Source organism: Homo sapiens, chromosome 18 (genome assembly GCF_000001405.40).
Source record: "Homo sapiens chromosome 18, GRCh38.p14 Primary Assembly".
Taxonomy (NCBI): Eukaryota; Metazoa; Chordata; class Mammalia; order Primates; family Hominidae; genus Homo; species Homo sapiens.
This window is the reverse complement of record NC_000018.10, coordinates 35,397,058-35,412,119: the sequence shown is the minus strand read 5'-3', so window position 1 is coordinate 35,412,119 and position 15,062 is coordinate 35,397,058. Positions and strand designations below refer to the sequence as shown.

General features: G+C 40.2%; 1 long non-coding RNA gene across 2 annotated transcripts; it reads left to right on the top strand.

Moving 5' to 3' along the window:
• Positions 1–3,045: 3,045 nt before the first annotated feature.
• LOC105372063 (uncharacterized) lies at positions 3,046–15,062 on the top strand. Of its 2 annotated transcripts, XR_935376.3 has the most exons (3): positions 3,046–3,447; positions 8,729–8,783; positions 14,565–15,062. It is a non-coding gene; the product is annotated as an uncharacterized LOC105372063 (long non-coding RNA). The 2 variants fall into 2 exon arrangements; XR_007066338.1 differs by lacking the exons at positions 8,729–8,783; positions 14,565–15,062 and adding an exon at positions 3,716–6,721.

Genomic DNA, 15,062 nt, shown 5'->3' with positions numbered 1-15,062 from the left:
ATATGACATTAACATATTGAAACTCTCCTCCACTGTGGGAAAAGAACCATGCAGATGTGTTGGTTCCAATTTGCTTACACACATGTGTGTAATACAGACAAGCAGCAGAAGACACTATCCTCCTATGGCGGGTTTAATCACCAGAACCTATTAACTACAATTTTGTCCAATTGCCAGTCTCAGCCTGGAAATCTTCTCCCTTTCTGTCAAGACTTTACCCTCCTTCCCAGCTCAGCTTGAAGCTGCCTTTCCCAGGAAGTCTTCCACCAACCCCTGTGCATCCCTTATGTGTGAATATTCACACTTCACACTGTGTGACTCAGGTGACTCTTAGACAAGCCTTCTGTCTTCTGTAGGTCTGGAAACTTCTCGGAGGCAGGGCTGATCCCTCAAGGCATCCAGCAAAGCACCTCCCCGACCATGAGCACTCGATGAGTATTTGTGAACTGAAGTTTGTCTGAAGTTCCTGCAGGAGGGTGAGGATTACTGCAGAGGGGTGCCATTGCCGAGGCTCACCCCAGCCTAAGCCACCCATGAGCCACAAAATGCCACTAGAGATTCCTGGTATGGCACCTTCCTAGCCCCTGCACCAAGCAAATAATTCTGTACTTTAAATAAAGGAGGGACGGCTGAGGGAGAATACTTCAGGCCCTCCCTGTCTACTTCTGCAGCACTTCCCAGCCCAAGAGCCCTTGGAGGGCATTTGTGACCTGGAGCATTAGGAGGGTCAGTCTGTCTGGGCTGAGTAATGGTCCAGGCCCTGGTCAGCTCAGGCTGTGTGTGTGTGTGTGTGTGTGTGTGTGTGTGTGTGTGTGTGTGTGAGAGAGAGAGAGAGAGAGAGAGAGCGCACGCGCTTAGTAATCAGATAATTCCGGTCATTCCAACCATCCAAATCCCTTTCTGATCCATTTCTCCTCCCTCCCAGTCGAGCTTTCTGAAAACCTCACCGCGCATGACCCTCCACTTGGTGACTCTACCCCCTTCCATCTCCTCCTCCTCATTGCATGGTGACTCGCACCTGACCAACCTGCTCCTCTCCACCTTCTGTCACTTCAGCACCGTAGATGCACCACACACTCTGGTTCCCAGTCCTCTATCATGTTGACAACCATCCTCTCCCTCCTCAACACCTCAGCTACTGACACCCACAGCCTAACTTCACAAGTAAATGCACCACCTTCAACAGCTTGCTTGGGAGCCTGAAGCTCGGTCATCATAAGCCCCCATGGTTCTTGCTCACTATAGAATCCTGGCTCCAACTCCTCCATTCACTGGGCGTGGTCTGTAGGGCCAACGTCTCACTTTCTTCCTCATTGGGCTAGCCCCACTTGCTTTCCAATGACCTTACCTACTTTGCATACTTTGTCTTCACTGGGGCGAAACGTCAGCACTGGTTAACCAGAACCATCAACCCCATCAGACCTGAGGAGCAGGTGCTGAGGGACAGCAACGTCACAGCCAGGAAGACCCTTCCGAAATGTCAGATGAGCAGCAGCCCTACCCTGCAGGCTCACCACAATCCTTGGACAAGTTCACACTCCTCCCCTAAATGGTCTACTTCCACCCTCCCCTTTCTCAAATCCTCTCTCCCACCCACCTCAAGCTCTGCAGAGACCCACTGTTCCTGGAGAAAGGTAGAAGCAAAGTCCCTCACTCCTAGGGGTGGTGCTGGAACCCTCTTGGGCTCAGGATCTTGAACCACAATAAAGCCCAAAGCCATTGCCACCCCTCCTAGCCACCCCATGAACTCTAAACCTCAGCATGCGTTGCCAGCCTGGCCTTTATGTGGAGCAAAGGGGCTTCATGGAAAGTGATGAGAAAGCATCATTCATTTCCCCTACAGTGGGGTTAGTTCTTCCCTTTTCCCTCCTCTGCATGGCAGGCACCCACTGCAGACCAGCCACCTGCAGGGAGACGCGTCCTGATACATTTCTCTCTTTTCTTCTCCAAGCTCTTTTGTTTCTTCAGCTCCACCCTTTGCTGTGGGTTTTGGCCACACCCAGGGTGGAGCTAAGGAGGGTGGGGCAGCAGGATTCTCACATAACTTGGAACTTTGTGATGATCTGGAATCAGCCCTCTCTGAAGCAAGTTCTTTCCTCCCTGTAAGGAACTTCGTAGGTTTTTTTCAGAGACTCCTTAGTCTCTGGGGCTCTCTTTCCAGCTGGTCACTCAAGACACCTTCCTGAGCCTTTATATGATGAAGGAGCCTCAGACTTACTGTGCTGCGGAGTTTTGCTCTTCAGGCAGCTCTCTTGGGTGGGATATCAAATGACCCCAGCCAGCTTTCTCAGTGGAGCCGCCCAAATCAGGTCCTTGGGAAACACTCCCACGTTCCCTTTGCCCCTCAAGGTATCATGCAGGCCCCTCCCAGCAACCCTCTCAAAAACCTTCTCACCACTAGCCTTTTCTCAGCCTTTGAAACCTCTTTCTAGGTCAAAGATAGGAGGCCAGCTAGGGTCACAAAACCAGTCTTTGGCAGCCTCCTTCATAAGGGAGTCTCGAGCATGACTTGGGAATCAGCCCGTATCTATCCTTCAGCACCCTTTCAAAATCCTGCAGTGCCTGGTTGTGTGCGCGATGAAGTTTAGTGCTTCATGGCTGCTGTGCTTCTAAAGCAGGAAGGCAGCAGAAAGCAAGGAAACACTCATCCTAAAGGGGAATACACAACCTGATAATTTAACATTAGCAAAGGTTCGACCCACTCCTCAGGCCCAGAAAGGCTGCCCCATTGCAGGCTGTATGGGATTTTACACCACAATAGAAATGAATATATTTGTATACACCAGGTGTATACAAATAACACCCGTATGGTGCCCCCTGGCTCATATTAATGTCTAGAAACCTGCATGTGAGAAGAGGTGGTGATGATGACTGTGGTTTGGCTGGGCTGTGCACCCCACTTGCCTGGGGAGAGCTTTCCAGATGGTGAAGCCCCTGCACCCATCAATCAAGGTGCAGTCTGAGAACAGAAACCACTTGTTCTTTCAAGCAGAGAAGGATTCAGGGCAAAGAACTATTTACCAAGGTATTGCAATGGCTGGTGGGTGTGGCTGGAGGGGTGCCAGAGGGGGAAAATAGAGGAGGGTTAACTAGAGATGAAGAAGTCATTACCGACCCGGCTGGCCCCAAGCCTACACCAGCTACCCGTTGCCCCGGGAGCCAGAGGCTGCTGCTGTGGCCAGCATGGACAGCACTAAACCAAAGCCGCCTCTGTTCTCCACTGCTGGCAGGACCAAGCTGAGACCAGGACCAAAACTGTGGGATGTGTTGGCCACATACTTCCAGCCCCACAGCACACAGCAGGCATGGAGGGCGGGTACAGGGCCCAGCAGGACAGAAAATCTGCTGGAGCAGATTCCTGGGAACAGCGTGTCCCTCCTCTTCAGAGGTCTCCTCTTCTTTTCTGAAGCTTTACAGATAGATTATAGAAAATGACCAGCATGCATGGTAAGTCATTGACAAACTCAGAAAAAAGATCTTGGAGGAGACTCTTGGAGGTCACTCAGTCCCCCCTTGGCAATCCCTCTAGAGTTTCACAGATAAGGAATTAATAGTAAAAATAATAATAGTTACTTTTTTTACATATAAAATATATGTAATTTTATATGTAAAAATTTACATATAAAATATTTCTTAGACACTTAGGGAACTCTACCTCATTTATTTCCCAGGACAATCCTATGAGGTGATTACTCTAATTGCCTTTATGTTACAGATGAGGAAACTGAGACTCCAAGAGGCCAACTCACTTGCCTCAGATGCCCTGGCCAGGAGGGGACAGCCTCAGCAGGACAGTCCATGCTAGATGACCCCTGGTCTGGCATGATTTCCATTACGCCAGTGCATTGCATAGCAGACAAGCTCAATCGGAAATGCTCTCCTAGACCCAGGCTTAGGGTCTGAAAGGTGGTTACAGACCATTACAGACCACTTTTCCACTTTTCAAGTTGAAAAGAGCCATTGCTTTGAAAATACTTGTGGATTAGATTGAAATGCCAACGGCAGAGTATGAAGACCAGGCCACAAAAGGAAAGGTTCATTCACCTTGCGCCCTCTTGTGGAGAAGAAGGCAAAGAATACTATAATACTACCTCAGAAAACGGGAATTTAGTTCATCCTCTTCCTCTAACATACAGTTGCAATACAATGTAATGATATGTCTTCATCATAGTATGATTTTGCAAATTTTTTCACAAATGAACCAGGTAGATTGTATTGTATAATTATTTTTCCTTGTCTGGAAACATCCTTCTGTGTTTTTGCTCCTGAAAAATCATAACCTTGCTTTATTTTTTTGCTTAGTTTTCTAGGTACTTATCAAAATTAATGCTTAAAATCTCTACTGAAGCTGTATGGTCCTCTCAATATTGTTAAACAAGTCTGAATTCTCCAATAATTCTCCTTCTGAAAAATTACTGGAGTTATTCTCAGTGCTACTGCTCAAATTGAGACTACTTTTTCATTTGTTGCACAGCTAACATCCTGGAATTCCACATTTGCATGTCTTTTGATAAATAAAAATCCCAATTTTTAATAAGCTGAATTTATCATTTTTTCTTTCCCTTTGAGATTAGAGTTTTAGTGTCATATTTCTAAAATCTCTCCCTATCCCAATATCTTGAAAATGTTTTTATATTATATTCCATCATCTTTAATATTTTGCTTTTTACAATTAGGTTTATAATTAACTTGAAAATGATTTTGTGTATGGTATGAAGTAGGGGTCAATTTTATTTTCCATTTTCCATTTAGATAATTGATTCAGCATCATTTATTGAAAAAAAAACTTTCTCCCACTCTTCTGCAAAGATCTTTGTGTCACATGTCAAGCCACCCATGTATGTATGAATCTTTTCCTGGTACCTTTAATTTCTTCCATTGGTATGTTTATTTGTCTTACATTAACACCATACTTTTTTAGTTATTACAACCTTTTAATGAATCAATGAATCTTCTTTTTTTTTTTTTTTTTTTTTTTTGAGATAACAGGGTCTCACTCTTTTGCCCAAGCTGGAGTGCAATGGCACAAATATGGCTCAACCTCCTGGGCTTAAGCAGTCCTCCGGCCTCAACCTCCCACGTAGCTGGGACCACAGGTGCATGCCACCATGTCTGGCTAATTTTTAAAAACTTTTTTTAGAGACAGGGTCTCTCTTTGTTGCCCACGCCTGTTTAAAACTCCTGGGCTCAAGCAATCCTCCTGCCTCAGCCTTCCAAAGTACTAGGATTGCAAGCGTGAGTCACCACGCCTGGCCCGTTTAATGAATCTTGATAACCAGTAGAGCAAGTCTTATCACCTACATTCTCCTTTCAAGAGTGTCTTTGCTCTTCTTAACTCTGTATTTCCATATAAATGTTAGTATTCATTTTTCAATTTCCATAAAAAGTGTTTCAATTTTTATTGGGATTACATTAAGTCTACAAGTTAATTTGGGAAAAATTGCCATTTTTACAATATTAGGTTACGATAGGTTACAATTAAGGTATAATCAGTCCATGAATATGGAATTCACTCCAGTTATTTAGGTCTTCTTTAATGTGTTTCAGTAAATTTTTTTTACTGGTTTCTCAATAATTTTATCCATAAATATTGTTTTATAGGCTCTGTTCATTTTTTTAATTGTGTTAAAATATACATGACATAAAATTTACAATCTTAACTATTTTTAAATGCACAGTTTAGTAGTGTCAACTACATTCACATTGTGCAAACAATCTCCAGTACTCCTGTAATTCTGCAAAAGTGAAACCTTATACCCATTAAACAACTGCCCATTGCCACCTCCCCCTCCGCCCAGTCCCTGGCAATCACCATTCTACTTTCTGTCTCTATGAATTTGACTACTCTAGGTACCTCATATAAGAAGAATAATTCAGTGTTTGTATTTTTTGTGATTGGCTTTTTTTCCCTTGGCATCATGTCCTCAGGATCACCCATGGTGTACCATGTGTCAGAATTTTCTTCCTTTTGAAGGTTGAATAATAGTCCATTATACTAAATACCATAGGTTGTTTATCTACTCATCCATTGATAGACATGTGTGTTGCTTCCTCCTTTTGGCTATTGTGAATAATGCTGGCTATTGTGAATAATGCTGCTACTAACATGGGTGTCCAGATATTTCTTCAAGATCCTGCTTTCAATTCTTTTGGGTATATACCCAGAAGTGGAATTGCTGGATCATATGGTAATTTTATTTTTAGTTTTTTGAGGAACCACTGTTTTCCATAGCAGTTGCACCATTTTACTTTTCTATCAATAATGCACAAGAGTTCCAGTTTCTCCACATTTTTGCCAACGCTTGTTATTTTCCAGTTGTTTGCTTTGGTTTTTTGCTAGTAGCCATCCTAATGCATGTGAGGTGGTATCTTGTGGTTTTGATTTTCATTTCCCTAATTAATGGTGTTTAGCATTTTTTCAGGTGTTTGTTAGACCATTTGTATATCTTCCTTGGAGAAATATCTACTCAAGACCTTTGCCCATATTTTAATTGGTTGTTTGTTGTTGTTGCATTGCAGTTCTTTATGTATTCTGGATATTAAACCCTGTCTGAAATGATTTGCAAATATTTTCTCAAGTTCTATAGGTTGCCTTCTCACTCTGTTGATTGTATCCTTTGATGCACAGGAGTTTTAAAGTTTGATGTAGTCCAGTTTATCTATTTTGGCTTTGTTGCCTGTGCTTTTGGTTTCATATTGAATAAATCATTGCCAAATCCAATGTCTTGAATATTTTCCCCTGTTTTATTCTGAGAGTTTTATAGCTTTAGCTATTGCATTTAGGTCTTTAATTCATTTTAAGTTAATTTTTGTATGATGTGTAAGGGTCCAACTTTATTCTTTTGCATATGGATATCCAATCTTCCCAGCACTATTTGTTGAAAAGACTTTCCCCACTGGATGGTCTCAGCATCCTTGTTAAAAAGCATTTGACTATGTGTGGGGTAGTTTGTTTCTGAGCTCTCTATTCTATTCCTTTGGTCTGTAGGTCTGTCTTTACACCAGTACCATACTGTTCTGATTACCGTATTTTTGGAATAAGTTTTGAATTTAGGAAGTATGAGACCTCCAAATTTGTTCTGTTTCAAGATTGTTCTCATTATTTGGGAGTGCTTCAGATTCCCTCAATTATATTTCAAAACTTTTTGCTTAGAAGTCATGCCTATATGTCAACCTACAGAATGGGAGAAAATTTTTGCAATCTACTCATCTGACAAAGGGCTAATATCCAGAATCTACAAAGAACTTAAACAAATTTACAAGAAAAAAACAAAAAACCCCATCAACAAGTGGGCGAAGGATATGAACAGACACTTCTCAAAAGAAGACATTTATGCAGCCAACAGACACATGAAAAAATGCTCATCATCACTGGCCATCAGAGAAATGCAAATCAAAACCACAATGAGATACCATCTCACACCAGTTAGAATGGCGATCATTCAAAAGTCAGGAAACAACAGGTGCTGGAGAGGATGTGGAGAAATAGGAACACTTTTACACTGTTGGTGGGATTGTAAACTAGTTCAACCATTGTGGAAGACAGTGTGGCAATTCCTCAAGGATCTAGAAATAGAAATACCATTTGACCCAGCCATCCCATTACTGGGTATATACCCAAAGGATTATAAATCATGCTGCTATAAAGACACATGCACACATATGTTTATTGCAGCACTATTCACAATAGCAAAGACTTGGAACCAACCCAAATGTCCATCAATGATAGACTGGATTAAGAAAATGTGGCACATATGGACCATGGAATACTATGCAACCATAAAAAAGGATGAGTTCATGTCCTTTGTAGGGACATGGATGAAGCTGGAAACCATCATTCTGAGCAAACTATCGCAAGGACAAAAAACCAAACACCGCATGTTGTCACTCATAGGTGGGAATTGAACAATGAGAACACATGGACACAGGAAGGGGAACATCACACACCAGGGCCTGTCATGGGGTGGAGGGATGGGGGAGGGATAGCATTAGGAGATATACGTAATGTAAATGACGAGTTAATTGGTGCAACACAACAACATGGCACATGTATACATAACAAACCTGCACATTGTGCACATGTACCCTAGAACTTAAAGTATAATAAAATAAATAAATAAAGAAGTCATGCCTATCTTTTGTTACATGCTTTAGGTGTTTAATTTCTAATGACTATTTAAAGGAAATTTTTTTTACTTCCCAACCTGTTGCTGAAATGTAAAAATGCAGTTGCTTGTTGTATATTGAACTTGTTAAAGCTCTTAATTTATCTATAGGTTATCTACAAATATTACCATGTCTTATTAAAAAATCCTTTTTTTTTTTTTTTTGAGAGAGAGTTTTGCTCTAGTTGCCCAGGCTGGAGTGCAGTGGCATGATCTCAGTTCACTGCAACCTTTGCCTCCTAGGTTCAAGCAATTCTCATGCCTCAGCCTCTTGAGTAGCTGGGACTACAGGCACCCGCCACCACATCTGGCTAATTTTTTGTATTTTTAGTAGAGACTGGGTTTCACCATGTTGGCCAGGCTAGTCTCGAACTCCTGACCTCAGGTGATCCACCTGCCTCCCAAAGTGCAGGGATTACAGGCATGAGCCTCCACACCCAGCCAAAAGTCCTCCTTTCTAATCCTTAGCTTTTAAATTTTTTCCTTGCCTTTGTCTCTGCCAGGATCTCTAAGACAATGTTGAGTATAGGTAGTAACAGTGGAATCCTTGTCTTGTTTCTCAGATCCTTGTCTTGTTTCCCATGTCTAGAAGAAAGCTTGATCATCTCATTATTAAAGGTAATGTTTGCTGTGGGTCTTTTGTGAATACTCTTTATTGTATTAAGGATTTTTCCTTCTATTTCTAGTTTGCTAAGAGGTTGGTTTTTTCTTTTCAACATAGATAGAGATTTGATTTTATTAAATGCCTTTTCTGTATCTATTAAATCATATGATTTTTCTTCTTTGTTTTGTTAATATAGTGGATTGCATTTAATAATTTTCCAATAGTATTAAGTAAACCTTGCATTCCTGGAATGAACCCATTTCATCATGTTGTATGTATTGCTGAGGGATTTTGCTAATATTTTATTTAGATTTTTGTAACTGTATTCATTAGTGAAATTACCTTGCCATTTTTTTCTTTTTTTTGTAATGTTTTTATTAGCTTTTGGCATTTCAGGGTTATCCTGGCCTTATAAAATAAGAATGAGAATATTTTCTATTTTTCTAACATCTGTAAGAATGTTTGAGGTTGGCACTATTTCCTCTTTAAATGTTCGGGAAGATTTCATTAGTGAAACTATCTAGGCTTGTAGTTTTTGTGGGGTGGGGGGATGATTTAAAATTATAGATTCAATTTCCTTAGCAGTATTGGGCATTTAATGTTTCCTATTTCTACTTCTATCAGTAAATTGGAAAATTGTATTTTCAAGGAATTTCAAATGAATATTTCTAAATTTCAAATTGTTATTCTTTTAATCTCTGCCAATCTGTAACCATGTCTCCATTCTCATTTCTAATGCCAGTTATTCATAGGGCTATCATACATCTCGATTTGCCTGAAATGGACCTGATGTGTATGGGACAGTCCCAGTTTATATCTATTTTCCTGGCATCCTATTTAGTTTAGCATTTTTCCCTAGAGAAACAAAATTTAACTATCATCAATAGTTGAATTTAAATAAGCCATAATGGTTTTGGTCAATTTTCACTTTGGAATTCATTCAGGCTTCAGCCATGATGTGGCCCAGTAGCGTATAAGACACATGTGCACTGAGCAGCTTCCATCACGACTTTTGGCCACAGGGCTGGTGACAGATACAATGCTTTCAGGGCCTCTCTCAGCTGGAGGGCTGCCTTGCCTAAGGTCCTGTTCTTCCTCCAGTGGTCCATATTCAACAACTGGTGGGGGGGTAAAGATCTGGACATTGTGGCACAAACAGGACAACTCTGACAGGTCATTTTAATAGCAGAGTTCCCTGTGGGGTTGATTAAGGCTGCCATTGGGTTGTATCACAGCCCATCCGGCCCTTTGCTCTCTCACCTTTCCTTCCTTTTCCTCCCGCACACATTGATCCCAAAGACATTCCTCAAACAGACTGCTCGGTCAACTTCATCTCAGAATCTGTTTCCGAAAGAACCCAACCCAATCCAACTATAAATTGATCATAGCTGAGGAAGCTTTGAAGCTCCTTCAAAGCTTCTTCCAGCTTTAAAAAAGGATTGCAGGCAATTTTATATAGGTGCTAAAAATAATATGATCATGTTGAAAAAAATGCACCTGTCAAAAAAATTCAGTGACTGCTTTGCTATACATACTCTTTTTATTTTTTAAAAAAGAATTTTTGAGAATAGTTTTTGAATAAAAGTATTTTATAGGTTCACTGGTATAATAAAATTAATTTGTTAATTAATAAAGGTTTCAAAAAAGTATATAATTACATTCAGTGGCCTTTCTCAGTGTAAACATGCCCTGGTGTAGACATAAATTACAGTCACTCTTATTAATTGTGTCTTCTCTTTTTTTCTTGAAGGGTCTCACCAGTGGTTTATTGATTGGATGTCTTTGAAAGAACTATAGCTTTGTTATCATTTTTATTGTATGTATTGTATTACATACACATTACATTATGTATTGTATTACATACACATATACATTATGTATTGTATTACAATAAAAATGTAATACATTTTTATTGTATTTATCATTTTATTGTATGTTTTCTTTTTTTATTGTTTTTATTTTATTTCTAATATGTTCTTTCTTCTACTGTATTTTGCTATATTTTATTGTTCTTTTTCTTTTTTTTTTTTTTGAGACGGAGTCTGGCTCTGTCGCCCAGGCTGGAGTGCAGTGACGCCATCTCGGCTCACTGCAAGCTCCGCCTCCCGGGTTCACGCCATTCTCCTGCCTCAGCCTCCCGAGTAGCTAGGACTACAGGCGCCCACCACCACGCCCCGCTAATTTTTTGTATTTTTAGTAGAGACGGGGTTTCACCATGTTAGCCAGGATGGTCTCGATCTCCTGACCTCGTGATCCGCCCACCTCGGCCTCCCAAAGTGCTGGGATTACAGGCGTGAGCCACGGCACCCAGCCTATTGTGCCTTTTCTAACCTTTTGAAATGAATGCTTTCTTTGTTAATTTTCACCTTTTATGCACTAAAGATTACAAGTTTTCTTTTCAGTACTGCCTTAGCTACATCTTACATTTTAATGTGTAGTATTTTACTACCATTTACTTATTTTAATTGGGAGTTAATTGTTATTCATTTTAGTATTTTTAATTTATATTTAAATTACTTTAAATTGACAAATAAATTGGATATATTCATCATGTACCACGTGATGTTTTGAAATATGTATACATTGTAGAATGGCTAAATCAAGCTAATTAACATACTCATTACCTTACATACTTATCACTGTGGTGAGAACATTTAAAATCTACTCTTGGTGATTCAAGATATCACCATTTAATTTAAAATGTTTTATAATATTCATTGTAAATTATTTTTGGACACATGGATTATTTAGAAATATATTTTATAATCTCCAAACATAAGAATATTTTTAAAGTTGTCTTTTTGTAATTTTGTAATTAATTTCTAGCTTAATTGCATTGTGGTAAGCAAACATTCTGTATAATTTTAATCCTGTGAAAATTGTGTATGATTTTCAACCCTGTGAGATTTGTTGAGACTTACTTTAGAGCCCAGCATATGGTCAGTTTTGGTGAAGATTCCATGCGTCCTTGAAAAGAAAATGTATTCAGCAGTTGTTGGGTGCAGTATTCTGTATATTCTGTATATATTAAATATATATTCTATATTCTGTATAGAAATCCAGTTTATTAATTGAATTGTTCAAATCTTCTAAATTTTTGCTGAGTTTTTTGTCTGCTCAATTCTATGTTTCCAAGAGAAATACAGGATATTAGCTACAAGACTTCTGTACATGCTAAATAACAGTGACTTAAACAAGACAGAGAGTTTATTTCCCCTTGGTGTGAAAGTCTCAGTAGGTGGGTGAACAAGGAGTGTATGTGTCTCTGCAACTTACTATTATTCAGGGATCCAGGTTATTCTATCTGTGGCTTCAGCCAACCCCTACAGGGTTGTTCACATCTACCAGGTAGAAATAGGCCAATCATTTGCATGACCATTTTCTACTTTATAGAAATAAAATGTAAGCTGAGAGCAAGGAGCTTTCTTTTCAGGATATGAGTGGGAAGTTACTTACACACATGGTCACACCTTGCTGCATGGGGGGCTGGGAGGTGTTTTGCCCTTGAGTGGCTGTATTCATTTCCTACTGCTGCTGTTACAAATTACCACAAACGTGGTGACTTAAAACAGCATGAATTTATTGTTTTACAGTTCTAGAAGTTAGAAGTGTAAAATGGTCTAACTTGGCTAAAACAAAGGTGTTGTCAGGGCTGTGCCAACAGCCTTGGAGCCTTCTAGAGGCTACATGAGAGAATCTGTTTCCTTGTCTTTTCCAGCTTCTAGAGATCGCCTACATTCCATGGCTCATGGCCCCTTCTTCCACCTTCACGTCCAGCAATGTAGCACATTCGTTTCTCTGACTCCAACCTCTTCTTCTGCCTCCCTCTTCCATTTAAAGACCCTGTGCTTACACTGGACCCACCAGGATTATCCAAGATAATTTCTTATTTTTAAAGTTAGTTAATTAGCAACCTTAATTCCATCTGCAATCTTAATTCCCCCATGCCAGGCAACATAACATAGTCACAGGTTTCAGGGATAGAACATGGCCATCTTTGGAGAACATTAGTCTGTCTACCACACCTGCCATTCTCAATGTGCTTGCATTTCATTTTTTGCTTTATTATCTCATGATTTCCAAACCGTGCAGCTTCAAGCATCACTTTCTTACACAACTGCATTGAAGTCAGGAAGAAAATGGCAAGGGGGAAAGGGCTTTCCTTTTATCAGGAGCAAAGTCTTTCCCAAATGCTTTCCAGGTCATTTTTTCCTTTGTTCTCATTGCTAATAACTGGATCTCTTGGCCATTCATCCTAGCAACAAATGAGGCTGGAAATGTAAGTAGGTAATAAAAAGAGAAGGAGTTGGATTACAATGACTGGTTTCAAAAAGAGAGAACTGCTATTGGGCAGGCATCTAATGGTGCCTGCTCAGAAAGCCACCAGCTCCTAAGCTTTAGTCACCTGCCTTCCCGTTTTCTAGTTTTCTCATTCTACTAGCCTGTCACACTTTAACTCATGCTAGCATGCATTTTCCCCACTAACTATTGTTTATGCTATGAACTTTGTATTTGAGATCCTTCAGATGTCAGCTTTGAATTTTCAAAGATGAATTTTTATAACTCAAGAAAAGAAAGGAAAGGAATGAGGAAATTTCTCAAAAAGCCCACTATTTAAAAAGATAAATGTTCTATTGGAATTTTTAAAATATTGGTTTTAAAGACTATTGTTCCCACTATGTGGTTAAAAAAACTATTTGGAAAAACTCTAAGCTTTTCTGTCCCTTGAAACAATACCCACTTCAGGCTCATGACTTGAGTGATAGAAAGGCTATGAGGTGAGAAGGAAATTTACTGAGAACAGCATCATCAGAAGTTGCTGTTTCAGAGTCTTATCCTATCACAAACGTCTCTACTTAATGCCTCCTTTCTGCTCCTCTAATTTAGTCATCAGCTGATTGCAATCTTCACGTTCACTCAAAGCCTTCCCTGTAAACAGTTCTAGGAAAGGGGACCAAGGATCTTCATACTGTCCAATTCGATGAAGATTTTCTTGGTCCTGGGCAAAGAAGCCCTGGAAGAAGCCCCCATGGCAGACTCCTAGGACCTAGGAGAGGCCTCTGCTCCTGAAGCCACTGAGGAGCAAGCCTCCAGCCTCCAGGATGCTCTGAAGCACAAAAGGAATGAATCCTGGAGAGGAGCTCAGCCCTAGCTCAATGGTTAACAGGCACTTCCTGTCTGCAGAGAGGATTCAGTGGGATGGTGTGTATGAGGCACTTGTCACAGTAGTATCAAGTGCCTATGAAATGTGAGCTATTTTGTTGCTAGGATTAGTAAGTTGATTTCTGATACAGGAAAAGGAGAATCTACTACTTACGCTCCTTGGCTGTCTTGTGTGGGAAACAATTTGGAAATGTATAAAATCTGTATTCCTCTCCAGCCTTCATTATCTCAGAGGAAAGAGTGTCTCTCTTTCTATAGCACTATAGAAAGGTGGTCACTGTCACTATAAGGCAGTTCCTTCAGCAGGGAAAATATCTTTTGTTAACTGTAATTGGAGCCACATTTTAATAATGTTAGAAGTTCAGTCTCCTTATTCTGAGTTCCTCTAAGTGCTCTATAAAACAAAGCATTATTTTAAAATAAATGTGACTATGTGCATGATAGTGTTACAGCAGCCTTGCAAATTACTTAGGAAATTTCATTATGTTTCCATGTATAAAACTATGTTATTAAGTATTGCCCTCCTTTAGGAGACATCTATGACCCAAGGAAGTTTTGCAATTTGCCATTCCTAAATGATTTCTGAGGAGGGAAACTCAGAGTAATAACTGTTTTGCTGTTTCACTCCACAGCCATGATGACTGTTGAATTTTAATAAAGGTACTGTACTGGGTTGCAAATGAAAGAGAAATAAGTATAAATATAAAGGAAGAAGAGAACACTATCCACAGAGAGCAGGAATTCCAGCCTGGAGTGAAGTAACTGCCATGAACCACGTGTCTTTCCAAAACATGCCAGGAAATTTTGCTATCCAGATTCACCTGGACCTCGTAAGTCTCTTTCTGGACCCTTCAAGGACCCTGTCAACAGTGGCTGAAACCAGAAATGTACCTGAAAGGGCAGCTTCTAGTAGAACTGTAACAGTTTCTGGCCTTTCTGTCTAGGGAGCTTCAGCCCACCTCCAGGAACAGAGACCATAGATTGAAGAAGCTGAAAGTCTGCTGGAGATCTGTTTTTCCAAGAGTGGTTCAAGAATCATTAGGGCACTCCAGTAAGAGCTCATTGTGGCTTTATTTTTTTATTTTATTTTATTTTATTTTGAGACGGAGTCTCGCTCTGTTGCCAAGGCT